This window comes from Homo sapiens, chromosome 2, assembly GCF_000001405.40.
Source record: "Homo sapiens chromosome 2, GRCh38.p14 Primary Assembly".
Classification (NCBI taxonomy): Eukaryota; Metazoa; Chordata; class Mammalia; order Primates; family Hominidae; genus Homo; species Homo sapiens.
Window position 1 is genome coordinate 42,952,087 of NC_000002.12, and position 25,464 is coordinate 42,977,550.

At 53.0% G+C, this 25,464-nt stretch overlaps 1 long non-coding RNA gene across 1 annotated transcript in view; it reads left to right on the forward strand.

The window, feature by feature from the left end:
* The window catches only part of LOC112268413 (uncharacterized), a 31,124-nt gene extending 11,054 nt beyond the window's left edge, over positions 1–20,070 (forward strand). The window contains exons 2-3 of the long non-coding RNA XR_002959381.2: positions 1,004–1,116; positions 19,096–20,070. This is a non-coding gene — a long non-coding RNA (uncharacterized LOC112268413). The remainder of the gene's footprint in view (positions 1–1,003; positions 1,117–19,095) is intronic.
* The last annotated feature ends 5,394 nt before the right edge of the window (positions 20,071–25,464 follow it).

Below are 25,464 nucleotides of genomic sequence, written 5' to 3' on the forward strand. Positions count from 1 at the left end.
TGCTTCACCATAGGGGCTAAGATGCTACTCCATGACTTGGGAATGGGATGTCTGCATGGTTGCAGATGAAAAGGTCCTGGGAGCTCTGATATGGTTTGGCTCTGTCCCCACCCAAATCTCAAATTGAATTTCCACATGTTGCTGGAGGGACCCGGTGGGAGGTAATTGAATCATGGGGGTGGGTCTTTCCCATGCTATTCTCATGACAGTGAATAAGCCTCACGAGATCTGATGCTTTTAGAAATGGGAGTTTCCCTGCACAGGCTCTCTGCTCGTGTCTGCTGCCATGTGAGACGTGCCTTTCACCTTCTGCCATGATTGTGAGGCCTCCCCAGACACGTGGAACTGTTAAGTCCAATAAACTTTCTTTTGTAAATTGCCCAGTCTTGGGTACGTCTTTATAAGCAGCATGAAAACGGACTACTACAAGCTCCTTCCGAATTTCTTTCATTTTTTTGAATGCCCCACTCTTCCTGTACAAGCTCTGAGACCCCCTTAAAGACTGGCTTCCCTCCCACCTGCCTTCTTAATTGCTACCCTCTCCTCTACCTTGATTCATTTATTCTCTTTCCTTCACTGAGAGAGACATCCTAATGTCCCAAGCTGACCTCCAGCTCCTCCAGCTCTCGGAGACCCTCTGTCTGTCCTAACCCTCCCCTCCAGATCCATCCATCTGGGGTCTGTTGTCCTGTGCCCCAAACCTACTCAGTCTCCTCTGTCTGCCTTAAGGTCTTATCGCTGTCCCACGACCCAAATTCTAACCACTACTACCAGGGCTTAGGTCAGCCCCACCACCTCCCAGTCCCACCCCCTAAAGTCCCACTGGCACTTCCAGCCCAACTCCTCAGCATGCTCAAGTATCATTTCCTCCAGGAAGCCTTCCCTGACCTCCTCCCTTCTCCTCTCAGAGCTGAGTGTCCTACAGGTGAATCCTGTGCAAACCTTGATTGTGACTCCCCTCCTACTGAGAAACAGCCATTGACTCGCCGGTCTCTCCCATCAGGCCATGGTTTTGCGGGAGGAGGAGCTACGTCAGTCTGCCTTGGAGCTCAGCACCGTGTTTGGCCCATGGTAGATGCCCCACAGAAAACACAAGCGGCGTTGAGGGCTCCTGTGGTGAGTGGTCGTTTCTCTTTTAGCATGCTAAAAGCACTTCCTGTGGGAGTGCCTCCGAGCCCCTCTACTTGAGTGGAAGTTTCTCAAGGCCAGGACCCTGTCCCGTTCCTCAGGGCCCCTCCCCACACGGAGTTTCAGGCAGGCCCTGCTGCTAGGCGCCACAGAGGCTGGGCAGGGTGAGGGGTGTGTCCTGTTTCTCCAGGCACACTCGGTGGTTGACTGATTAGTCTCAAGAGGCAATTAAATTTAAGAGAGGCTTTTCACCTGCTCACAACTCCTCACCCTATCTGATTATGATGTTATGCCCCTTGGAGGGGCAGAGAAGGGCAGTCATTAAAAGACAAACATTTGGGCCAGGCGTGGTGGCTCACCACAGTAATCCCAGCACTTTGGGAGGCCGAGGCAGGCAAACCACTTGAGGTGAGGAGTTCGAGACCAGCCTGGCCAACATGGTGAAACCCCGTCTCTAGCAAATATAAAAAATTAGCCAGGTGTGGTGGCATGCTTCTGTAATCCCAGCTACTCGGGAGGCTGAGGCAGGAGAATTGCTTGAACCTAGGAGGAGGAGGTTGCAGTGAGCTGTCCAAGATCATGCCACTGCACTCCAGCCTGGGCAACAGAGCAAGACTCCATTTCAAAAAAAAAAAAAAAAAAGACAAACATTTGAAGGGGCTGTGTGCTGTCTGGGAAGCCAGATGGCAGGACAGCCACTTTGGTTTTTTATTTTTATTTGAGACAGGGCTGGAGTGCAGTGGCGTGATCTTGGCTCACTGCAGCCTCAACCTCCCAGCCTCAAGCAGTTCTCCCACCTCAGGTTCTTAAGAAGCTGGAACTACAGGTGTGTGCCATCAGGACTGGCTAATTTTTGTATTTTTTGTGGAGAGGGGGTTTCACCATATTGCCCGGCTGGCCTCAAACTCCTGGGCTCAAGCAATCCTCCCACCTCAGCCTTCCAAAGTGCTGAGACTATAGGTGTGAGCCGCCACGTGTGCCCCCCTCCCTTTTTTGGTACAGATGAGGTCTCACTATGTTGCCCAGGCTGGTCTGGAGCTCCTGAGCTCAAATGATCCTCCCACCTTGGCCTCCCAAAGTGCTGGGACTGCAGGCATGCGCCACTGCGCCAGGCCAGGCCAGTCACTTTAAGCAAAAGCAGCAAGACTGGGAGCTGGGCAGGCCAGCTCCCAAATGACCTGCCCCACCCTGGGAGCTGGCGCTCCACTGAGGGGTCAGAGGTCAAAGGGATCTTTGAATTCATCTAGGGGGCTGGGGACAGCTCATGAGAGTGAGGCAAGCTCTCTTCTGTGACCCCTCTACCTACTGAGCAGCCTCCTTAGCAGGGAATAGGGACTCCAGCTCCCAGCTGGAACCCATGAGCAGAAATGTTCTTTTGGTTTTCCTGTTGGAATCCCACGAGCAGGAATGTTCTCGTGGTTTTCCTGTTGGAATCCTTCAAGCAGGAATGTTCTCGTGGGTTTCCTGTTGGAATTCCATGAAAAGTGCTTTCATTCTTCCAGCCTTGTGCCCCTGAAGTTTCAGGGGCACGGAGTCCTGGGGGATCCCCAAGCCCGGCCCCTCCCAGCGTTTGCCCTTGGCCTCTGGGCGTCTCATTAGCGTGGACACCCTCTGGAGGAGGAACTCTTCATCACATATGCTGTTGCCACCGCCAGGATTTCTGAGCTAAGCTATGGTTGTTTCTATCCTGCTGCTATAAACTGAGTCCACCAGAAAGTGGCCAGTCCGGATCTGGGGTGAGGAGGTGGGATGGGGTAGTGGTTTGAGGGAAACACAGTGCCTGAATCTGAATCTTGGCTACCTGCTAGCTGGCCATACCATGACCCAAGACGCTCTAAGCCTCCGCTTCCTCGTCTGAATGATAATAGAATCTATGCTGCAGAGTTGCTGATGGGAATAAATGAGATAACTCTCCCATTACCTGTCCCTGAGCCCAGGACTAGGCTGTACCTGCCTCACCTTGGTGTGGTCCAGCCACTCCCTGTCTTCAGCTGAGCCAAATTTCTCCTTTTTTCTTTTTGAGATGGAGTCTCGCTCTGTCGCCCAGGCTGGAGTGCAGTGGTGTGATCTCAGCTCACTGCAACCTCCACCTCCCGTGTTCAAGCAATTCTCCCATCTCAGCCTCCTGAGTAGCTGGGACTGCAGGCGCCCGCCACCACGCCCGGCTAATTTTTGTATTTTTAGTAGAGACAGGGTTTCACCATATTGGTCAGGCTGGTCTCGAACTCCTGACCTTGTGATCCGCCCGCCTCAGCCTCCCAAAGTGCTGGGATTACAGGCATGAGCCATCATGCCCGGCCAAATCTCTCCTTTTCCTTCTCAATCCGTCATCCATCCCACAACTTCATATTCCTGGCACCCCTTCCTGCCCCCAAGAGCTCCAGCCAGGTGTCAAGGGTCACAGGCAGGTCCCCAGGAGCCCTACCCCTGACCCCACTCACGTGCAGATAACTCTCCTAGCATGCTTGGCTGGCTGAGGGGCCTTCTTTGGGCCTTGGGTGTTTGAGGAAAGTGGCCAGAGGCCCAGGCCAGAGCAAACTGCTTAGATGGCTTATCTAACTCTACTGAGGCTCAGCTCCTGGGACAGTGGCTCAGTGAGTCCCACCATGGCCCTTTGAATGAGAGCGGCCGGGAGAGCTGCCCTACCCACTTCCCCTGCCCTCCTTCATCTTTGTCTACATCTGCATCCTCATCTTCATCCTCCTTATCTTCAGCCTCGTCCTCCTCATCCGAGCCTCATCCTGCTCATCTTCAGCCTCATCCTCCTCTTCTGGGCACTTGCATATTCACTTTCTTTCTGAATTCCACAAAAGTCTAGTTAGGCAGTGGCGCATAGACCACCTTCCTCATTAGGAAAGAAACCGACACCCAGAAGGAATAATAATGCTGAAAGCACACCTTTTATGTTAATGTAAACATTTTTGGGATAGGTAAATCCAAAACCCTCACATGATGAATTGTTAAAGAAGTGTACAAAAAATTAGCTGGGCATGGTGGCGGGCACCTGTAGTCCCAGCTACTTGGGAGGCTGAGGCAGGAGAATGGCGTGAACCCGAGAGGCGGACGTTGCAGTGAGCCGAGACCACGCCACTGCACTCCAGTGTGGCCGACAGAGCGAGACTCTGTCTCAAAAAAAAAAAAAAAGGGGGGGGGAACAGTTCAGAGTCCTGCTCCCAGCCCCGCCCCTTCCACTTCCCCACCTCCCACGAGGTAACTTTGTTTACTGGTTTCTTCTGCATCTCCCCAGAATGTCCTTATGTAAAATCCGAGCAAAAATGACCATGTGGTCTGATCTCTCTGCTTCCCACCCAGATGGCAGCATGCTATACACGCTGCTGTGCTGTGCTTTTCCCCACAGAATCTCTCCCCATCAGCTCCTAGAGGGTGCCTTCATTTGTTTTATGAGCACTGACCACCTGCATTGAGCGTGGCGGTCAGGCATTGTGTGTGACGGTCGGGCATTGTGCTAAGAGATCTACGTGGATTACCTTATTTAATCATCACACAAACCTAAATGCAGAGTGTGCTAGAACCATCCCCCTTTACAGATGAGAAAACTGAGGGCTGGAGAATTTGCATAGTCCGGGTCACATGCCATCAGATTCCAGAAACAGCGCTGTCATTCTTGCTGCCACGAGGTTCTGGAAAGGCCAGCCTCTTGATTTTTTTTTCTTTTTTTTGAGATGGAGTCTTGCTCTGTCGCCCAGGCTGGAGTGCAGTGGTGCGATCTTGGCTCATTGCAACCTCCGCCTCCTGGATTCAGGCAATTCTCCCTGCCTCCGGCTCCTGAGTAGCTGGGACTACAGGTGCACACCACCATGCCTGGTTAATTTTTGTATTTTTAGTAGGGACGGGGTTTCACTATGTTGGCCAGGCTGGTCTCAAACTCCTGACCTCAGGTGATTCGTCCGCCTCAGCCTCCCAGAGTGCTGGGATTATAGGTGTGAGCCGCTGCGCCCAGCACCAGCCTCTTGATTTTTTTTCCAACCCTCACTGGGTGGTTTGAATGCAAATGCTAATTGGGTTCAGCTGAAAGCCACAGTTGAACCAGTGACCTTAGATTGTTGATTAACACACCAATTGCACCATTTTACCACTCACAAAAGGAACAGGTCAGAATGCTATCTAAGTGGTTACAGATATGTGTCATAGTTTCACCAGATTCCCAACGTGTAAAAATGGTTATCCTTATTTCCTGGATGAGTAAAAGGAGGCTCAGCAAATTTAAGCCAGGATTGCAGCTTGGGTCTTGGGACTGCCTCTTAGTGGCCCCCATGGTTGGCTTCCCTTCTCCTACCTTGGCCCCTGAGATGCGGGAGGGGTTGGCTGCCAGGGCCCCTCTCGCGGGGGAAGGTAGTGGGGTGGGCCTGGCTCCCCAGATGGCCACAGTGGAGACAGGGCAGGCACTGGGTCAGCCCAGGTGGGTGGGAGAAGGTGCCATTGAAGGCTGGTAAAAAAGGGGTGAAGTGCTGTCACTTCCTTCCCAACTTGGGCCTCCTGCAACAGAAGGGCGCCGAGCCCTTGTGGCGATCCTGAGGGCACTACAGCAGCTGCTGAAAGTGATTCTTAACCAGGAGCTGGCCCTCAGGGGCAGCCAGCATCATGGCCTCTCCCTGGTTCCCTGCTTGCCCTAGACATGTGTTAAGGGCTCTGGGTGGGCCCTAAGCCCCAGCTGCTGGCTCATCTGGCAGCCACTGTTCTTCTCTTGGCTCAGCTTGACCATCCCATCAAAGGAAAAGCATGGCATGAATGGGAAGGCTTAGGGCTTGGCAGGAGACTGACCTTGGCTCTCAGAGTGGGGAGCCCTGGAGCCAGGGAAATCTAGCAGGAGGGATGGCCTCAGGTCCTTCAGGGGTCCTGGATACGGTCAGCACTGGGGGTGCCACTGGTGCCATCCAGCTTAGGGACATATGGATTCCTTCTCTCAGACTCCTCTGCCTGCCCCCTCTGCTCTCCTTTCCAGCGTTCACAACCCTGCCTCTCCCCGCGGAATGCCTGACTCCACACCACATGCATTAAAGCTGCCATCTGTACCGCCCTCATGGTGTGCCAGGCATCCAAGTATTTTACATACACACACACACACAATGTCAGTCAATCCTTGCAATACCCAAGTGAGGAAGGTATTACTACCATTATCTCCGTTTTACAGATCAGAAAACTGAGAAGTGAAGAGTATAGGGAAGTCTGCGTGGCTCCGGCCAGGCTGCTGCTGGAGGACCTCTACCTTCTCACCCCCAAGGACATGGGCATGGTGTTGATGGAGAAAGGAAATGGCTCACTCCGGGGGGTGTCCCTCATTCTGGTCCTCTTGAGCAGTCACTCTTCCATCTGTCCTGATGGTCATGGCTGGGAATCATGGCTGGGAATGGGGTCAACAGAGAAGAGCTTCCTCCCTCTTCTTCTTCCTTTATGTCTTTTCATCTCTGCCCACTCTCTACATCTTTTCCTTTCTCCCTTCTCACTTTATGTTTCTTTTATCTGCATTTCTCTCTCTCTCTCCCCGTCTCCTCTCTCTTTCCCCCACACCCCCGCCCCCAGGGTCTTGCTCTGTCACCCAGGCTGGAATGCAGTGGCACAAACAGGCTCACTGAAGCCTCGACCTCCTGGGCTCAAGCGATCCTCTCACCTCAGCCTCCCAAGTAGCTGGGACCACAGGTGCATAGCACTACACCCAGCTAATTTTTAAAATTTTTTGTAGAGGCAGGGGTCTCACTATGTTGCCCAGGCTGGTCTCAAACTCCTGGACTCGTGCCTCGGCGTCCCATAGTGCTGGGATTACAGGTGTGAGCCACCTCTGCCAGCTGGATTCTTTCAGCCCCAGCCTAGGCAGTCGCACCTGGCCTGCACCCTCTCAGCCCTGTATCTGCCTCTGGGTGTACCCGCTGCACAGAGCATCCCAACCCGTGGACTTGGGAGATGGATGGCTATCAAGCAGCCATTTTCTCTGTGTGCGACTTCTCACACTCTTCTGTTAGCCCCACTGCTCCATCACACTGGCACCCCCAGGGCAGGGTTTGTGCCTCCCTCACCAGTTGGAGACACTACCCCTTCTCCTCAGATCCTCTCTCTGCCCCCCTCACCCTTCCTTGTTTCACTGGCTATCCTTTGGGCCCTCTGGATCTGGGGCTGTGTGCTTGGTGTGGGCCAGCACAGAGCAACAGGGGCCCAGACACACCCAGAAAGAGCTCCCTGGAGGGCAGAAAGGCAAGCCAGGGAAGAGGTCAGCCTTGCAGAGTGTTGCTTTTTTGGCTTTTCTGAAAGTTGCGAAAATGTGGCTTTGTCTGAGCGAGTTAAAACAAAAAAATCAATGGTACCTCCCACAGATGATACTGTTGCTCAGGCTCCTGGAGCCACAGTTGGTAGACAAATAACACATAAAAATAGCCTGTGTTTCCCAATCTTATGGCCTCTGGGGGCTGCAGGGGGAGAGGCCTTGGCTGAGCAGGGTTTTCTGGCCCATTGTTTGCCTGCCCTGGGTTAGGGGTGGGCGTGGGGGCTGTTCGTGGGCACAGCAATTCCCGGTCAAAGAAGGGAGGAGGGTGAGTTCTTGGCGAGGATGAGCAAGATAACGCACACTTGAATGGGGTAGCTGTTTGATGTTTATTTTTCCTTTCCCAGGCCAAGAAATTTAGCACACTCCATTTTGAACTTCAGTTTCCACCAACTTTTTCCCCCAGCCTTTTCTTTTTTCTGAAAGTGTGCAAGGAGGACTGAGATACAAGGTCTTATTTCCATCTGGCCTCTGGCCCAGGAGCCTCGACCAAAAAGTTACTTAAGTCATATTTCCATCATTTGCAGATGGCTGTGTATTTATTTCTCACCAAAGTAAAATCCCAAATGGGCTTCAGATATTTGCACGAGTCAAAACTGCTTCCTCCTGGCAGGGCTAGGAAAGGGGCTTTGATCCTTCTGAGAAAACAGAAATGTTGGCCCTGGCCCAGAGAGGATGGTGCATTTAGGGGTTCCCATAACTACCCAAGATCCAGGCCCTGATGGGGTGAAGTGAGCTCTGGGGGCTGGAGAAGCCATATCCCTGAGATGGGCACAGGGCTTTGAGAAGCAAGCTGGAGACAGCTGAGTGATGAGGGCAGAAATCAATGCAGGTGGGGTCACCGAGCAGGTGAGTGGCCCAGAGTAACCCTCTGGAGGACCAGCCACCATCTGAACTCTGTGAGCAAGCCTGTGTGTGGAGGAAAAGCCAAACTGTGGAAAATTACTTGGGGAGAAACTGCCGCTCCCAGACACAGGGCCTGCTGTTGGGCCTGTGTTGTCGGCCCCGTCTCTTTCTTTGCGCCCTCATCCCCAGGGCGCTGAGCCTGGCACAGGGAGACAGCCGTGGCCTGAGTGCCCAGGCTGGTTCATCCCTGGGTCAGGAAGGGCAGCCCAGTTTGTGCTGTGGTAGGGCCTCTCCCTGGCACCAGGGGTGCCCTCACCTCCAGGGCAGAAATCCATTCAGGACTCACTGTCCCCCTCCCCATGTCCCACCTCCTGGCTCCTAGGAGGAGAGGGTCTGAGTGAGCATGGTGAGGGCCTCTCCGAGTAGGGGAGGACCCCTTAGGGCTGAGGAGGGCAAACTGGAGGGACCACAAAGGTGAAGAGAATGGCAGCCAGCCGAATGCCAAAAACTGGCTTTCCAATCACTTCTCTCCTCTCCCCATTCCTGTTGCGGTTTGTGGATGTCCAGTGCACATCTGCATCGCTCCCTCTGCTTCTTGGCTCTCGTTTTCCTCTGTTTTGGCTTCAGGCATCCCTTGCAACAGTGCTGATCTCTGTAAAGTGAATCCTGTGTTCCTGTTGCCATGCATTTTGAGACCTCAGATGTGTTCCCATAGCTTTGGGAAGGGGCATATGAGCCCCCAGGGGAGCTGAAGGCTGCGTAGAGGAACAGACCCTATGCATGGATGAGGCGGAATACTGCGAATATCACTGTGCCACTTCCAGAACTTTCCAGGGTTCCTCAGGGCTATCCTTCCTGAAACCCTTTTCTCAGCCCCACACAACTCCTCTTAGGCTGGGGATGTCTTGCCATCACTCTCACTACAGGGCCAGAGTGGGACCCTATGCCCCAGGGTCTGAATTTCTGGGTGGAGCCCCTGGTAAATTCAGCACTACTTTGCAGGGAGCTGGGACTCAATGTCTCTGGCCTCCTGCTTGGTTCTTCCCGGTTCGCATCTCTGGCTCTCTTTGGCTCTTTTCTCTCCAGGTCAGCCAGCAGGCCCTCCTCCCTACCCCGTCCCCTCCCTCTCTCCCCACATCTTGGCTCCACGCTCTGTTTTCCTTTAGGACTTGCTTTCAAAGAGCACCAAGTTGGCCACTAGCGTCTCTGGCCTGGCCCACCTTAAAGCCTGACCCTGACTCATGGTCCTGGTCCCGACAGGACGTGGTTCACACCGGTTTAGAAAACTCTGGACGGCAAAGTCACAAACCATCTGCACCCTCTTCTTCCGCCCCAGACGTTATTTATGTGTGTGGCTTTGTGTTCGTTGCTAAATGCGGCCTGTGTGAAGGCTGTTAATTAACCCTTTGAGAAATGCGCTTCCCATCGGGGCAGGGACAGGAACAAGGAGCATGCTTCTAATCACCGAAGATTTATCCTGCTTCAGACGAGGCGTTTAATGAAGGCAGGGGAAGGGGCTGGAGGAGATGCCCTTCGAAGCGGTTTAAAGAAAGCCCGTTTTGTGCACGCAGATTGTCAGAAGGGCAGGAAATTCTAAATCAACTGTGCTCCTGGGCCTCAGTGAGGGGACAGGGGGTGCATACAGGGAGGGGGAGGGGGCCTGTGGGGTCGGGGGAGGTCTAGGGGCACAGGCCGGCTATCAGGAAGCAGGGCCAGGCAGCTCTCCTGGGATGAGCTGTGTAGTCACTCAACTCTTTGGCCGTCTGTAAAATGGGACCGCGTCTCGCCTGCCTCCTCCCTCCAGGGCATCCATGGAGGGGACTGTAGAACAGAGTTGGAGGAGCCGCTTATAATACAAACAGTCATCAAAGAGTGACCATGCTGTGGGTGCCTTGGGAGGTGGGTGGGGGTGACAAAGTGAAAAGAGGGACTTTCTTTCCCAGTGAGGGAGGGTGAGCTCTGGGGTCAGGGTGTTCATAAGCTTTCCAGGGGGCCCTCTAGTTCCTCACCTGTAAAGTGAGAGGCATTCTGGAATCTTCACAGCTGGCTGTAGGATTATGGGTTTCCTGACACTGAAAACAACCTTTCTTCCGAAAAAGGAGAAATTCAGTTTTGGGTTTCACTCCCCCTTGGTTTCCCAGCCCAAGGCGCATCACGGTTCCCACCCTTCCCAGATGCACTGAGGGTGGTACTGGCTGGAGGGGTTGGGGGAGGAGGGCAAGCGGGAAGTCCCAGGACATCCCAGCTGGGCGTGGGGGCTGAGGGACGGAGTGGGCCACAGAAGCCCGCTGATATTTATAACTGCGACTCTTTACATTCTGTATAAAGGCATGCCTAAAAAGCACCATTGAGGGAGGGCTCAGACGCCTGCCCGCACGCAGCCAAGCTTCCTGTCAAAGCCGAATGAGCTCAGAAAACAAAAAAATGTATTCACAGCTCTGAGTCTTCCCCGCTTCCCAGGCTTATTTCGTTTGAAAATACTCAGAGTTGGAGGGAGAAAAGGTAGAGGAAACAGAGTCCAGCCTGACTCCCTAGGGACCATGTATCTGCTGCAAGGTTGTGTAATCTCTCAGAGCCACACATTTGCCGACTTGTAAGGTGGTTGTGAGGAGGAGGTGAGAAGATAGGTAGGAAGAACAAGGTCAGCAGGAGATGCACGAGCGGGCTCCCACTCCATCCCCCTCTTCCCTCCTCCCTCCCTGTCCTCCATCCCTCGCTTCCACCCCTTTCTTTCCTCTCCCCCAACCAGTCTCTCCTGAGGTCTGCCATATCACCCTCTCTGCTGCATCCCTAAGATGCCCAGATAAAACCAACCTAATATCTTTCAATGATCTGCCCCAGACAGGCCCACACAATAATGAACCCTATGATGGACAGAACCCAGATATCCCTATTTCGGCCTGCCGCATAGACAGTGGAAGTGTGCGTGTTTCAAGTTTGTACTTAGTTGGCTGTGCCTTAGCAAGCTTCCAGGGATTCCCATGCAAGCTGAAGTTTGAGGACCATTGTACTGTAACATGCAAATGCTCCTGAAGCCTTCAGGGAATTCATCCAGAGGTGAGGATTGGGGAGGGCTGATGTTTCCCATTTGGAAGTAGCTCCTGGGGAGCCCTTTGCTAGGAAGAGCACCTGCTTCTGGCCACTTCCTCCCTCTCTGAAGCTTCCCCCAGTGCCTCTTCCCAGGGACCCAGGAAGCCTGCTTTCCACTCCAGGAGTCAGGATGGAAGCTGCCTCTGGGGTGTCCACACCTGTACTGGGTGTCAGGCTCCTGGCTCCCCTCATGGCGAGTCCACCTCATCCGTGGTGAGGTGGGGAGAGGAGTGAGAGGATGTCTCCAGTGTTTCTCAATCACAGCCCCCTGCCCCAGCTCCCCACCCCAGGAGAGTAAAGCTACTAGTGTCCCTGGCACCTGGTCTTTCCTAGCCAGGGCATGCGTCTCGGTAGAACTTTCTGTATTGACGGAGATGTTCTGTATCCGTGCTATTCAATACAGTGGCCATGAGCCACCTGTCGCTACCTACTGAGTACTTGAAATGTGACTGGAGGCCAGGCTCAGTGGCTCACACGTGTAATCCCCGCACTTTGGGAGGCCAAGGGGAGTGGATCACTTGAGGTCAGGAGTTCAAGACCAGCCTGGCCAACATGGTGAAACCCAGTCTCTACTAAAAATACCAAAAAAATTAGCCAGGTGTGGCAGCATGTGCCTGTAATCCCAGCTACTCAGGAGGCTGAGGTGGGAAAATCGCTTGAACCCGGGAGGCAGACGTTGCAATGAGCCGAGATTGTGCCACTGCACTCCAGCCTGGGTGACAGAGCAAGACTCCATCTAAAAAAAAAAAAAAAAAAAAAAAAAAGTGACTGGAGTGACTGAGGAACTGAAATATGAATTTTCTTTCCTTTAAATTCCTTTAAATTTAAATGGCTATGAGAGGCTTGAGGCCACCATATTGGACAGTGAAGTTCTAGGAGCTCCTTCGATGCCTTGGCCTCTGAGGCCTTCCTTCCCGACATCCTTGGCATCTGCTCCAGCCCTGTGGAGTCCTGTCCCATTACATAGAGGGGAAGCTGAGGCCTAAGAGAGGGGGTACTCTGCCATGGATAGGAAGCGAGGGTAGGACTGGACCCCACCCCCTCCTCTGCCTTCCAGCCCAGGCCTCTGGCCAGCAGCCCCATTCGACCCTGGCCTCTGGCCGAGGTGTGGGAAGTTGAATGTGATGAAACCCAAGACCCCTTGGCTGGCACCCAGCTGTGGTTTTGCACTTGAGCTGCAGAGCTGGGTGGAGGCGGCTGGAGAGGAGTGTCAGAGGATGGGAATTCGGGTGGCCTGCCCAGCAGGCCCTGTGAGCAGGAGCTGTTCCCAAGGGGGTTTCCAGGCCAAGCAGGCTTCCAGGTTCTGTTGGTGTCTCCTGGCAGCGGAGGGCCCTGAGTGACCCAGATTCTCCTAGATGCCCCACTGTGGAGAGGGACAGAGAGGGGACCATGGAGGTGAATGAGCATGTGTAGCTGTGTGTAGTCAGTGAGTGGAAGTGGGGAGGGCAATAGCACTGGCTTTTCTAGGGAGGAAACCAGCCAGCTTGCTCCACCCTCCCCACCATCACCACCAGCTGCATAATTTACAGGGCCCAGTGCAAAATGAAAATGCAAGATCCCTTGTTCAAAAATTATTAAGGATTTCACATAACATGGGAGCATTAATCCAAGTTGTGGGGACTTTCTGACAGCAAGGCCCTGTGCAGCTGCCTTGGTCACCAACCTGTGAAGCTGGCCCTGCCATGAGCGCCTTCATCCTTTGAGTCTCAAAAGAACAGAGGATGGCCAGGCTTACTTTGGGAGGCTAAGGCGGGAGGATCACTTGAGGCCAGGAGTTTGAGGCCAGCCTGGGAAGCATAGCAAGACTCCGTCTCTACAAAAAATTTAAAAATTAGCATGGCATGGCGGCATATATACCTGTAGTCCCAGCTAATCAAAAGGCTGAGACAGGACAGCTTGAGCCCAGGAGTTTGAGGTTTCAGTGAGCTATGATTGCAAAACCCTATCTTTGGGCCAGACATAGGCAAAAGCTGGCCAATTCCTCCACCCCCAGCCCCATCATGGCTTCTGGAGACTTACGAAAATGGTTCCAAGTCTCCTCCAAGACACATATTCCATCCCCCCGAGTCTTCTTCTAGTCTGGCTAAATGGCCTTAGGCTGGAGAAGGGAGATGGTTCAGCATATGCCCTGATCCCTGCCCCAGTCAAGGAGGGGGACAGCCAGGGAATGATAGCAATGCATTTATCCAGCGTTTCCTGCGTGCCAGGCGCCTTGCTAAGGATCTCACCTGTATTATCTCATTCGATTTTCCTAACACTATGAGGCAGATAGTTTTGTTTGCTTCCTTTTGTTTGCACGGAAGGAAGGGCTTTCTGGGGTAAGAACAATGTTCCACGTCTTGACTGTGTGGTTATTACATGGGGGTATCCATTTGTCAAAATTCATCAAGCTGGGCACATAAAATCTGTGCATTTGTTGTATGTAAATTATCCCTCAATAACTTTATTGAGGTGCATTTATTAAAGAAACGTATTTTTTAAAGTAAGGCACAGGAGACTTTGAGAACTTGGCCAAGGTCAAATTCCTAAAGGATAGAGCTGGAATTTTAACTTGGGTACTCAAGAGTGGTGCCATGCCTGTGCAAAGACCCGGATCGAGGGGTCAGAAGGATAAGATCTCAGATGTAGTGGTTTCTTGTTCTTGAGCAAATTACAGGGCCTCTCTGAGCCTCGGGTTTCTCATCTGTAAAATGGGAACAAAGATAGTACCTGTGTTACAGGGTCATGGTTTAGTGCTGTCAGGGACATGTTGGAAGGGGGAGGACCCTGGGGAGCTGTACAGTGTGCTGCTTATGTCCTGCTGTTCAACCTGTAGGCAGGGGGCAAAGCTAAGGGGCAGCCTCCCATGTGGCCGCCCTCTTCTTCACCCTTATCAGCCCCCGCAGCTCCTTCAACCCAGGGCCCTGCCCTATTACGAGGAAGCAGGTAGCATAGTAGGTCATGGCTGGTGCAGGACCCAGGGCAGCAGGGGTGGCATACAAGGTTTGGGGTCCTGCCATGTGGCGGGGGGGGGTGGGGGGGGGAGTCACTGATGAGCTTCTATAAGGGGGAATTGATTTGGGATTTAGAAATGTGGAGGATTGCGGCCAGGTGCGGTGGCTCGCACCTGTAATCCCAGCACTTTGGGAGGCCAAGGTGGACGGATCACCTGAGGTCAGGAGTTCAAGACCAGCCTGACCAACATGGAGAAACCCCATCTCTACTAAAAATACAAAATTAGCTGGACGTGGTGGCACATGCCTGTAATCCCAGCTACTCAGGAGGCTGAGGCAGGAGAATCGCTTGAACCCAGTAGGCGGAGGTTGCGGTGAGCCAAGATCGCACCATTGCACTCAGGCCTGGGCAACAAGAGTGAAACTCTGTGCCTTAAAAAAGAAAAAAAAAATAGAAATGTGGAGAATGGGGCTGGGCATTGTGGCTCATGCCTGTAATCCCGACACTTTGGGAGGCCGAGGTGGGCCAATCACTTGAGGTCAGGAATTCGAGACCAGCCTGGCCAACATGGTGAAACCCTGTCTCTACTAAAGATACAAAAATTAGCTGGGCATGATGGTGCACACCTGTAGTCCCAGCTACTCAGGAGGCTGAGGCATGAGAATCTTTTGAACCTGGGAGGCGGAGGTTGCAGTGAGCCAAGATTGTGCCACTGCACTCCAGCCTGGGTGACAGAGCAAGACTCAGTCTCAAAAAAAAAAAAAAAAAAAAAATGTGGAGAATAGGAGAAGATACCTGGAGGGAGGGTGCTAAAGACCTTGTCTTTCTTAGAAGGAGGATGAAGTTTGCTGTAAACAGAAAAAAAATATCAACTTAAGAATGTCTTGGCCAGGCACAGTGGACTCACACCTGTAATCCCAGGTGTGAGGAGGGAGAGGCAGGAGAATTGCTCAAGGCTAAGAGTTTGAGACCAGCTTGGGCAACATAGCAAGACCCCATCTCTTAAAAAAAAAAAGAAAAAGAAAAAGAATGTCTTAAAAATTAAGGGTCTCCACTAAAAGAATATAAATAGAAAGTGTTACTTCTGCCCCCTGACCGCACCTCGTCCACGTGACCTCCCAATACTGGGCTGGGCTGTGTTTATTTATTTACCTGTGGGCTCCTCTCCACCCTGAGGAGTTTAAGTTGTGTTTATCACTTTGGTCTCCCCACCCCTGCCCAGGGCCTGACACATACTAGGGCCTGAATAAATGCTGGTAGGTGAAGGGCTTAGAATTGGGGTTAGACTTTTCTACCCCAAAGACTTAGGCTCAAACTCTACCAAACTACCCCAGGGGTGGGCCTGACCCATTGCTCAGGTGGGAAAGTGGCTCTGGCTTCTGGCCTCTTCCTGACATAGGCCAGCTCCAGCAGCTATACTCCTCTAAGTTCTGTTTTTGGGAAAATTATGTTGTTTTTATCCCCAAGGAGCCACCTTGGTCCCCAAATCCTGATAGTACCTCCATCAGTAGAGTAACACATTTCATGGATGAGAAAGTCAAGCCTCAGAGAGGTTAAGAGACTTCCCCATGGACAACAAAGCAAGGTATTGACAGAGCCAGCCCAAGAACTCAGACCTCCTGGCCCCAGTCCAGCTCCACTACACACCCCATTGCCACTAATGCTGTCTCAGCCCCCAACCCCTAACACCCACCTCGGTAATGGAGCTGGGCTGGGTGGAGTTGGCTGCTGAGAGGCTGGAGGCTTGGCTTAGGCCAGTGGCTCCTGGAAATTGGGCCGTTTTCCTGGGGCGGAAATGAGAAGCAGATGTGGCTCAGAGCTGGAGTGCAGACTCATGCCGTGTCAGGGGGCTCAGGTTACATGGGAGGACACATGACCGAGGTTCCAAAAACAGCCTGAAACCCCCAAAGCCTACAATGGGATCCAGCCTGGGCCTGGGGAGCTCAGTCCCGCCCTGATCACCTCCTGATAGCGCCCGAGCGCCTCGAGGAGAGGGTGAAATGGAAGGCGATGGGGTGAGCGAGGCCCCGGGCCACTGTGGCTTCTCGCTCCAGCTCTGTGTGTAGGGTTGTTTGAGCCCCTGCACCAAGTCCCTGTCTTTAGAAAGACACCTAGGAAGGGCAAGACACCTTCTATTGGGGTTACCAGCAGCTTCCCTGCCCAGGGCTGGCTTGATGCCTATGCCCAGGCCACCAGAACACCTTTTGCAGTCAGGTTGCACCACTTTGCTTCAAATCTTTGGGGTGAGGGATTGATCCTGCTCACAGTTCATGCTTCTCTCGGAAACCATCAAGTTTTATGCAGTATTCAGGCAGCCTCTCTGGAGTGGAGATGAATATCAACCACTTCCAAACTGGCAGAGGGAACTGGACCCAAGGGGAAAGGGGTGAGGCAGGATTCTGGAGAGAGTGAGGTCCTGGCACAGGTGAGGAGTCCAGGAACAATCTGGCAATAATATCACTTGGCAGAGGGATCCTCTGATCTGCACAGCCCATAAGTCTCTCCCTTGACCAATGGAGCAGGCCCCATTCATTTATTTATTCAATAGATGGTTCTTGCATACCCACTGTGGCCAAGGCAGTGGCTAAGCCCTGAGGATCCAGAGGTGACTGAGCATGAACTCAGTCTCCAGGACCTCCCCAACTGCCGAGGGAGCCCCCACAAAAACCAATGAACAGCTTTAGTGGATGGATCGATTGCTTGAACATTAAGTGCACACTGTGTACCAGCACCCTGCTAGGCTCATAGGAGCCACCGGTGAACAGAATAGGTAAAGACCCTGCCCTAGTGAAGCTGACACTTTTTGCAAGGGAGATGGAGTATAAAAAAAATTAAAAATTGGTTAAATAATATGTTTAGAAGGTGACGCATGCTATGGAAAGAAAGAAAAGTGGGGCAGGGGGAGGAGGGCCAGGAAGTAGGGGCTGGTTGCAGTGGTGTCCAGGGCAGGGAGGGTGGGCTTCCCTGAGAAGGCAAGACTGCAGCAAAGACAGTCCCTGGCGAGGGAGATGAGCATGGTGTCTGGGGACGTGCCAAGGCCCAGAGAGAGGAGGGGCCTGCAGTGTTCAGGGCTTCAAGGAGGCTGGTGCAAGCTGGGGTGGAGAGAGAATGGAGGGTAGAAGTGAAGGTCCAAAGGGAAGGGGGACCAGAGAGGGAGGAGTCGGAGGCCACTGTGCAGTTTTAGCTTTGACCGTGAGTGAAATGGGAGGTGCTGGAGGGTTGTGAGCAGAGAGATGTGTATTGACTGGCATTTTCAAAGGACCATTTGGGCTGTTGGGTCCACAGCCGACTGGAAGGGGCAGGGGGCAAGGGCAAGGGGCAGTCAGGAGGCGACTTTGACAGTCCAGACCAGAGGTGAGGGTGCTGCAGCCAGGCAGAGGATGGGAGAATTGCCTTGGGAGAAACTTGAATATGGTTCCAGGGTAACTTGGAGAAGGGAATGATAAACTCTGACTAAGGATGCTTTCCCTAGGGAGGTGACTCAAGCAGGATCTTGAAAAATGAGTTCAGCAGGACTGCAAGGAGCTACAGCATTCCAACCCTGTGTGTGACAGGGGCCGAAGCCAGAGGGTGCCAGGCCCAGGAGGGGAACCCTGCAATGCTCACCTCGGCTGCAGCTGGGTGCGGGGCACTTGGGCCAGGCCAGGGAAGGATGGGGCTTACTGCTCTGCCCAAGGGTGTGATCCTGTGGGCGCTGGGGAGTTGGTGACAGGTTTTTCAACGTGAGGCTGCAAATCCATGAGACCCACTTTCCAATCAAGATAAGTCCCCCTGTTGCCGTGAGGGGGTTGGAGGCAGGTAGAAACAGGAGGACCAGGTGGGAAGAAGAAGATAAGCCCCTGCCCATCGCAGTGTTAGAGAGAGGGAGGGGTAGTTAGAATAGAGGGCCAGAGGATGAGGGATTGATGGAGAGAGGCCTGTCTCTGTCCTGGGGAAGAGGATGAGTCAGTTTGGGATGGCTGCATTGGAGATGCCTTTGGGAAATCAGACAGAGTCCTGGAGCAGCTGACCAAGGTGTCTGGCGCTCAGCAAAGGAGACTGAGCCCAGATACCCATCTAAGAGCCTGCAGGGACAGGAGGCAGTAGAAGCTATAGAAGTCCAGCTGGGCGCAGTGGCTCATGCCTATAATCCCAGCACTTAGGGAGGCCAAGGTGGGCAGATCACAAGGTCAGGAATTCAAGACCATCCTGGCTAACACGGTGAAACCCATTTCTACTAGAAATACAAAAATTAGCCGGGCGTGGTGGCGTACACCTGTAGTCCCAGATACTCAGGAGGCTGAGGCAGGATAATCACTTGAACCCGGGAGGTGGAGATTGCAGTGAGCCAAGATTGCGCCACTGCACTCCAGCCTGTGCAACAGAGCAAGACTCTATCTATCTATCTCAAAAAAAAAAAAAAAAAAAGAAGTAGTCCACCAGCCAGGGGCATCTCCAGTTGCTGATTTTTTTTTTATCCTGAGGAGGATCTGATTAGAGGTGGCGCTCCCTCCTCTTTGCCTCACTCCCAGGGCCTTTGAGAGAAGGGGTGAGAACAATCATCTTGAGAGTAAACAAGGGATCCCCCTGGAGGCTCCAGGAGCAGGTGGGTCCCCTTGGATGATACTGAGAAGTCACAGGCAAGGGTTCCCTGAGCAGGCCCCAGTTCAGCCCTAGGGTGTTTGTGGTGTGTCTCTAGTGTGTTTGGGGTCTTGGAATCAGCTTGTCTCTGGGTCTCTGCATGCAAGTGTGTGTGCTTCGGGTATGCATGTGTTATAGAAATAGCACTTATAAAATAGCAAAGGGATGTATTTTCACTTTCTATAATTCTCGTTCTCCTGTAGCCCTTCAGGGTGAAGGCTAAGGTGACGTTCATTGCCCGGGGAAGTAAGTGTAGGGTTGAATCGAAGCAAGTCATCCAGGACGGATGAGGTAGGACGGGATGGAGAGATACAGCTACTGAACAGCAGGACTCAAGGAAGAGAGAAGGTGAGAAGCAAAAAGCTCTGTCCCTCACCCCAGTGGACACTCAGAGGGCTGTGTGGGAGACACCCCAGCCACATTTGCAGCTAAATTTCACCGCACAAGGTAGGTGGAATTTGACTCTCAGATGACAGCTGTGGGGAATTTCAGTGAACTCCTTTAAGAAAGCAGTGATTGAGGAAGGTGTAACACATTATGGCGCTGCCCAGGAGGTAGTTTAGAAATGTCTAAAGAAGCAGTCTAGGAAGTGGCTCTCGGAACTCTGCCTCTTCTGGAGGGGTAGAATGCAGCCAGGCGGTCCTAGGTCCCAGGGAAAGGGTAGAAATCAAGGCCACAGGCCAGGTGTGGTGACTCACACCTGTAATCCCAGAACTTTGGGAGGCCGAGGCAGGTGGATCACCTGAGGTCGGGAGCTTGAGACGAGCCTAACCAACATGGAGAAGCCCCGTCTCTACTAAAAATACAAAATTAGCCAGGCATGGTGGCACATGCCTGTAATCCCAGCTACTTGGGAGGCTGAGGCAGGAGAATCACTTGAACCCGGGAGGCGGAGGTTGTGATGAGCTGAGATCACGCCATTGTACTCCAGCCTGGGCAAAAAGAGCAAAACTCTGTCTCAAAGAAAAAAAAAAAAAAAGAGAAATCAAGAACACAGAGGTAGGATCTGCACCACCAGCCTTGTGCGGGGACCACTCACTTCATCAGTACCCCTCTCCATCCCCAACCATCACCAATGCCACCAGGGATCCCAGGGACCAGGCCCGACCAGCCCTGTCCCATTGTGTGTGGGGAAGGTATGTGGGAAGAATGCAGAGAACTCCACACCGACCTTGAACTCCTCTTCCCACCACCATGAGGTCTGTAAATGTCTCCCTGCACCAGGAAGAGAGACATCTGGCTAGCAGAAGAGGGAATAGGGAGAAAACGATGAGTATTTTGCTGAAAGGAGATTTGCTTGAACATGCAGAAATAGAGAAACCTGTAGTGGGCAAGTTAAAGATTTCTTTTCTTTCTTTCTGTTTTGTTTCTTTCTTTTCTTTCTGTTTTGTTTCTTTTCTTTCTGTTTTGTTTCTTTTCTTTTTGTTTTGTTTTTGTCGTTCATTCATTTATTGCCTGTCAACAGCAGGAAGTATCTCATTAGATCTAGATGAGAAGAGTACAAGAAAAATTAAGAAAGACGCAGGTTTTACTCACTTGTGTGAGTCGTAGTGTGTGATTTTCAACTCCACCACATACATGTCTGCACAAGCTTGTCTGGCCAGCTTTGTACTTTCAATTCCACTTGTGAGACTTTTCTTTGAGACTTGTTGTGTGCTTTGCTTTGGCCAGGAGTTGAGAATCATAAAATCACCAAATTCTGTATTATCTATTGTAGCATAATAAATTACTCCAAAACATATCTTCTAAAAACAATATACTTGTTTTATCTCATAGTCTTTCTGTGGGCCAGGCATTGGTAAACAGAGTAGTTCCAGCTCAGGGTCTGTCGTGAGATTGCAGTTGAGATGACAGCCAAGGGTGCAGTTATCTGAAGGCTCGACTGGGGCTGGAGGCTCTGAATCCAAGACAGGCCTGCCAGGTTGTTCTTCCTGTTGACAGGAGGCCCCTGTTTCTCACCACATGGATCTCTCCACAGAACTGCTTGACTGTCCTCACGGCATGGCAGGTGTCTTCCTCCAGAATAAGTTATCTGAAAGAGCAAGACAGAAGCCTCAGTGTCTTTTATGACAACCTAGCATTGAAAGCCACACCTAAGGGCCAGCTGTGGTGGTTCACACCTTTAGTCCTAGCACTTTGGGAGGCGGAGGCTGAGGCAGGCAGATCACCTGAGGTCAGGAGTTTGAAACCAGCCTGGTCAGCATGGGGAAACCCCATCTCTACTAAAAATACAAAAATTGGCCAGGCGCCGTGCCTCACGTCTGTAATCCCAGCACTTTGGGAGGCCAAGGTGGGTGGATCACCTGAGGTCAGGAGTCCTAGACCAGCCTGGCCAACACGGTGAAACCCCACCTCTACTAAAAATACAAAAATTAGCTGGGCGTGGTGGCACTTGCCTGTAATCACAGCTACTCAGAAGGCTGCGTAGGAGAATCGCTTGAACCCGGGAGGTGGAGGTTGCAGTGAGCTGAGATTGTGTCACCGCACTCCAGCCTGGGTGGCAAGAGTGAAACTCCTTCTCAAAAAAAAAAAAAAAAAAAAATACAAAAATTAGCTGGGCATGGTGGTGCACACCTATAGTCCCAACTACTCGGGAGGCTGAGGCAGGAGAATCACTTGACCCCAGGATGTGGAGGTTGCAGTGAGCTGAGATTGTGCCACTGTACTCCAGCCTGGGTGACAGAGTGAGACTCTGTCTCAAAAAAAAAAAAAAAAAAAAAAGCCACACCTCCCCATGTGGTCCAGGCTTTCCAAAAGCTTATGGTATTGCAGGGTAGATGTAAAGTCCCTAGTGCAAAACAAGATGTCTGAGGTCCAAGCAAAGTGATTTGGGCTTTCTGAGGACAGAGTGAGCTACCCCAGTCAGGCAGCCAGGGAGGCTTCTGTGAGTGGGCAGAAGAGCCCCCGCCCCCCATCCTGCCCTGAGTGGCTCTTCCCTGGAGAAGGAGACTTGGTAACTGTAAACTGGTCAGATGGGGAAGCCTTTGGAGGCCTGGCCAAGTGAGGGGGCTGGTTTCTGTCTGCTGGGTGACAGGGGAGTGTGGCGTGGCTACAGAGAGGCTGCTAGGGAGCTCCCAGAGGGAAGGCAAGGTAGGGTCCCGGAGGGACTTAGAAGTGAGGCAGGAAGGGAGAGACAGGGCTCAGAGAGGGAGAGGGAAGGCAAGAAATCGAGGGCTGGACCAGTCTTCTACTTGGTCAGCATGCCATTTTTCTGGGCTGTCATCCCTGACCACAGATTCATTCATTCATTCATTCCTGTATGCCTGTCAGGTGCTGGGGTTACAGAGACAAAGGCCAGGTCCCTGTCCTCAGAGGTCACAGTTGAGTAAGGGATGATACCCAGTACAGGGGTGACATCTGTGAAGTGTGATGGGTGCATGGGGAGCATACATTGCTGGGAGAGGGCTGGGCTGGTCAGAAGGTGAGGCCTGGGCTGCTTCTTGCAGAGGTATGGCAGGCACGAGGTATCCCTGGTATGAGGTACCATCAGGCACAGGTGGGAGAGTGCTGAGAGATGGAGCTGGGAGGGCCAGAAGAAGCGTGGCTCTGCTAGTTGGGTGGGGTGGTTTGGATTTCTTCCAGAAGACAACAGAGAGATTATGCAGGAATTTAAGCAGTGGTGTGGAGGGATCAGCTCCATGGTTTAGAAAGATTAGCTGGGCAGTAGAGAGAAGGTTCTAGAAAGGGTGAGTCCAGGAGGAGACAGCAGTAACCCAGGCTATGCATGCAAAAAGTAGGGATAGGAAGAGGTGAAAAAGTTCCAGAAGTCTTTGGAAGGCCTGGCAGCCTCCAGTCATGCCTACAGGCTGAACCCAGCCCAGCTCATCTCAGATAAAGCATCTAATTCAAGTCCTACACGGAGCCCAGGCCTCTGCTCTGAAAAGTCTCTTGACCCCAGCATTCCAGCTCGGGACGGGCCCAGCGAATCCCAACCCCAATCTGCCGTCCTCATCCCAGAGGAATGCTCAGCCTACTGGACCTTGGCCTTTCTCTGGGGGACGGTGAGGCCTGTGACGGGGGAAGCCCTGGGGCGGAACTGGCAGTCGTGGGGAGGCCCCCCAGGACGCTGTGGCCACGGGGGCGGCTGGAGGAGAGGAGGCAGGGGGCTGGGGGAGTGAGCCAGTAGGGAGCCGGGCAGCACACTGGCCACCTGAGAGGTGTGATGGGGGAGACAAGAGGCGGTGATTCCTGGGGTGGGAGTTACCCCCTCCCCCAATTCTCAAACCCCCGACAGGAGTGAGCTGCGCTGCCCACTCCCCGCAGCAGGTGGCGCCGTCTTGCTGGGATTGGACTTGCGGGCCTGGCTGGGAAGCGCTCTGTGGAGAGGGACGCGACTGGAGCGGCTGGGGGGCAGCCGTCCTGCGCCTGGGACCCTCACGGGGCCTCCCTGCTCCAGTCACTCCCGCCCGCCTGCCAGCCTGTCCCCAGCTCTCCTGCGTCTCCACTCTGTCCCTGTTGCCCTTCCTGTCTTCCTCCAGCCCTCCAGTCCTGCTTTCGGCTGGGGTCCCCGGACAGGGTCTGGTCAGCTGGTTCACTCCGAAGCATCCCTACCGGATAAGGGAACTCTCAGCCCAGCCCAGCGGGCGTTTGGCCATGGCGTGGCACCGTGGGGGGCCTCTCTAAGCAGCCCCGACTCCCAGGGTTTGCCTACATTCTATGCCCTCAGGAGGTGTTCAGTGCCCCGAGCTGGGGCTTGGGGAGGAGGGGTTCCTAGGAACATATATATGAGAAAGTGTCTCACTCTGTCACCCAGGCTGGAGTGTAGTGGCGCGATCACGGCTCACTACAGCCTTCACCTCCCAGGCCCAAGCGATTCTCCTACTCTGTCTCTACAAAAAATACGAAATTACAAAACATACAAAAAAAAAAAAAAGAAAAAAAAACTCACAAAAATTAGCCGGCCGTTAGTGGCGCATGCCTGTAGTCCCAGCTACTCCGGAGGCTGAGGTGGGAGGATCACTTGCGCCCAGGAGGTGGAGGTTGCAGTGAGCCGAGATTTGCCCACTGCACTCCAGCCTGGGTGATGGAGTGAGACCTTGTCTCAAAAAAAAAAAAAAAAAAAAAAAATCTGTAACCCAGGCTGTGCATGCAGAGAAGTAGGGACAGGAAGAGGTGAACAAGTTCCAGAAGTCTTTGGAAGGCCTGGCAGGAAAAGAAAAAAAAGGAAGGAAGGAAGGAGAGAAGGAAGGAAGGGAAGAAAGGAAAAGAGGAACGGAAAGGAGGAAAGGAAGGAAGGAAAGAAAGAAACGGGGTCTTACCATGTTGCCCAGGCTGGTCTTGAACTCCTAGGCTCAAACGATCCTCTTGCCTCAGACTCCCAAAGTATTAGCATTACAGGCATAAGCCATGAGCCCAGCTCCTAGGAATCTTTGCTATGGCAAGGGGGCTTACTAATGAATGACAAAATAAATTACAACAGCTCTTGGGGAACATGCCTAGCACCTCTCAATCTCCCATCTTGCGTCAAGAGGGAAACCTGAGGGGCCCAGGGGACTCCCACTGGGCCTCCCGGCCCTGCTGGTTCCCCTTCTCTCCCCACTTCTTCTTGGGGCTGGGTTCCACACTTGTCACAAAGGAGGGGAGTGTCCCCCTTGCCAGTGGACAGATCTGTGTGGGCTGGTGATGGCAGAGCTGGCCTAGGTAGGGCACTGAGTTGGGGGTGGCTGGTGGGGGTAGTGGGGCGTGGAAACAGGATGTCCACCGCAGGCCCCTCTCTGAAGGAGCTGGTGAGGGCTGGAGCGCTCAGGAGGGAAACTTCCATAGTTTCTAGGGTAGAGTCCTAGGGGCAGAGGGAAGGAAAGGGTCTGGCTGGTGTGAGTGGTGGCTGATCCAGAGAGGCTGTCGCCCAGCCCAGGACCTGTGGCTCCCAGCCTGCCCTTCTCCCCAGGTCCTGCACTCCCTAAGGACAGCTGCCATCATTTGTAGACTCTAAACTGGTGTCATTGCTTTGGTAAGAATGAGGATATTTATGAGACAACAGAGCAGAATATTTGAGAGAAGGGCTGTCTGGTAGCACAGAGGTGTCTGTTCCCCTGGGACACCTGAACTCCGATACTACCTGCCCCCAAGTTGTCACTCATTTCCTCCCCTCAGCTGGGGTGGGTGGGAGGTTGTGTGGGTCCCTACATCTCAGTTCGATTTCAGCCTGAAATAAAAAGCCAACTTGTCACCCTTAGTCTTCCTAGGGATGGGATGCCTTCCTTGGAAAGAGCTTCTGGTTCTGCTTGAACTTTTAGGTGGTCAGTGTAGCATAGATGGTAGTGAGTTTATGTTGACTGTGAACTTTTGTTTCAAAGCACACCTGGGCAGAGACAGGTGGGTTGATGCCGAGAAGGCTGAGAGGGAGGAAGTGTGAGCCAAGGGAAGAGATGAACGTGTGTCTGAGAAGGGGGGGACCAGGGCAGCCCGGCAAGAAGAGGCCGTCACTGGCAGCCGCTCTGTCACTGCTGGGGAAAGAATGCCCAGGGCGCTCTGGCAGTGAGTGTGGGGCTGCCACAGGGAGGAAGGGCTGGGAGGCTGTGGGGAATGCACTTAAGGCTGGATCAGGAGGCAGTCAGAAACGTCCAAAACCT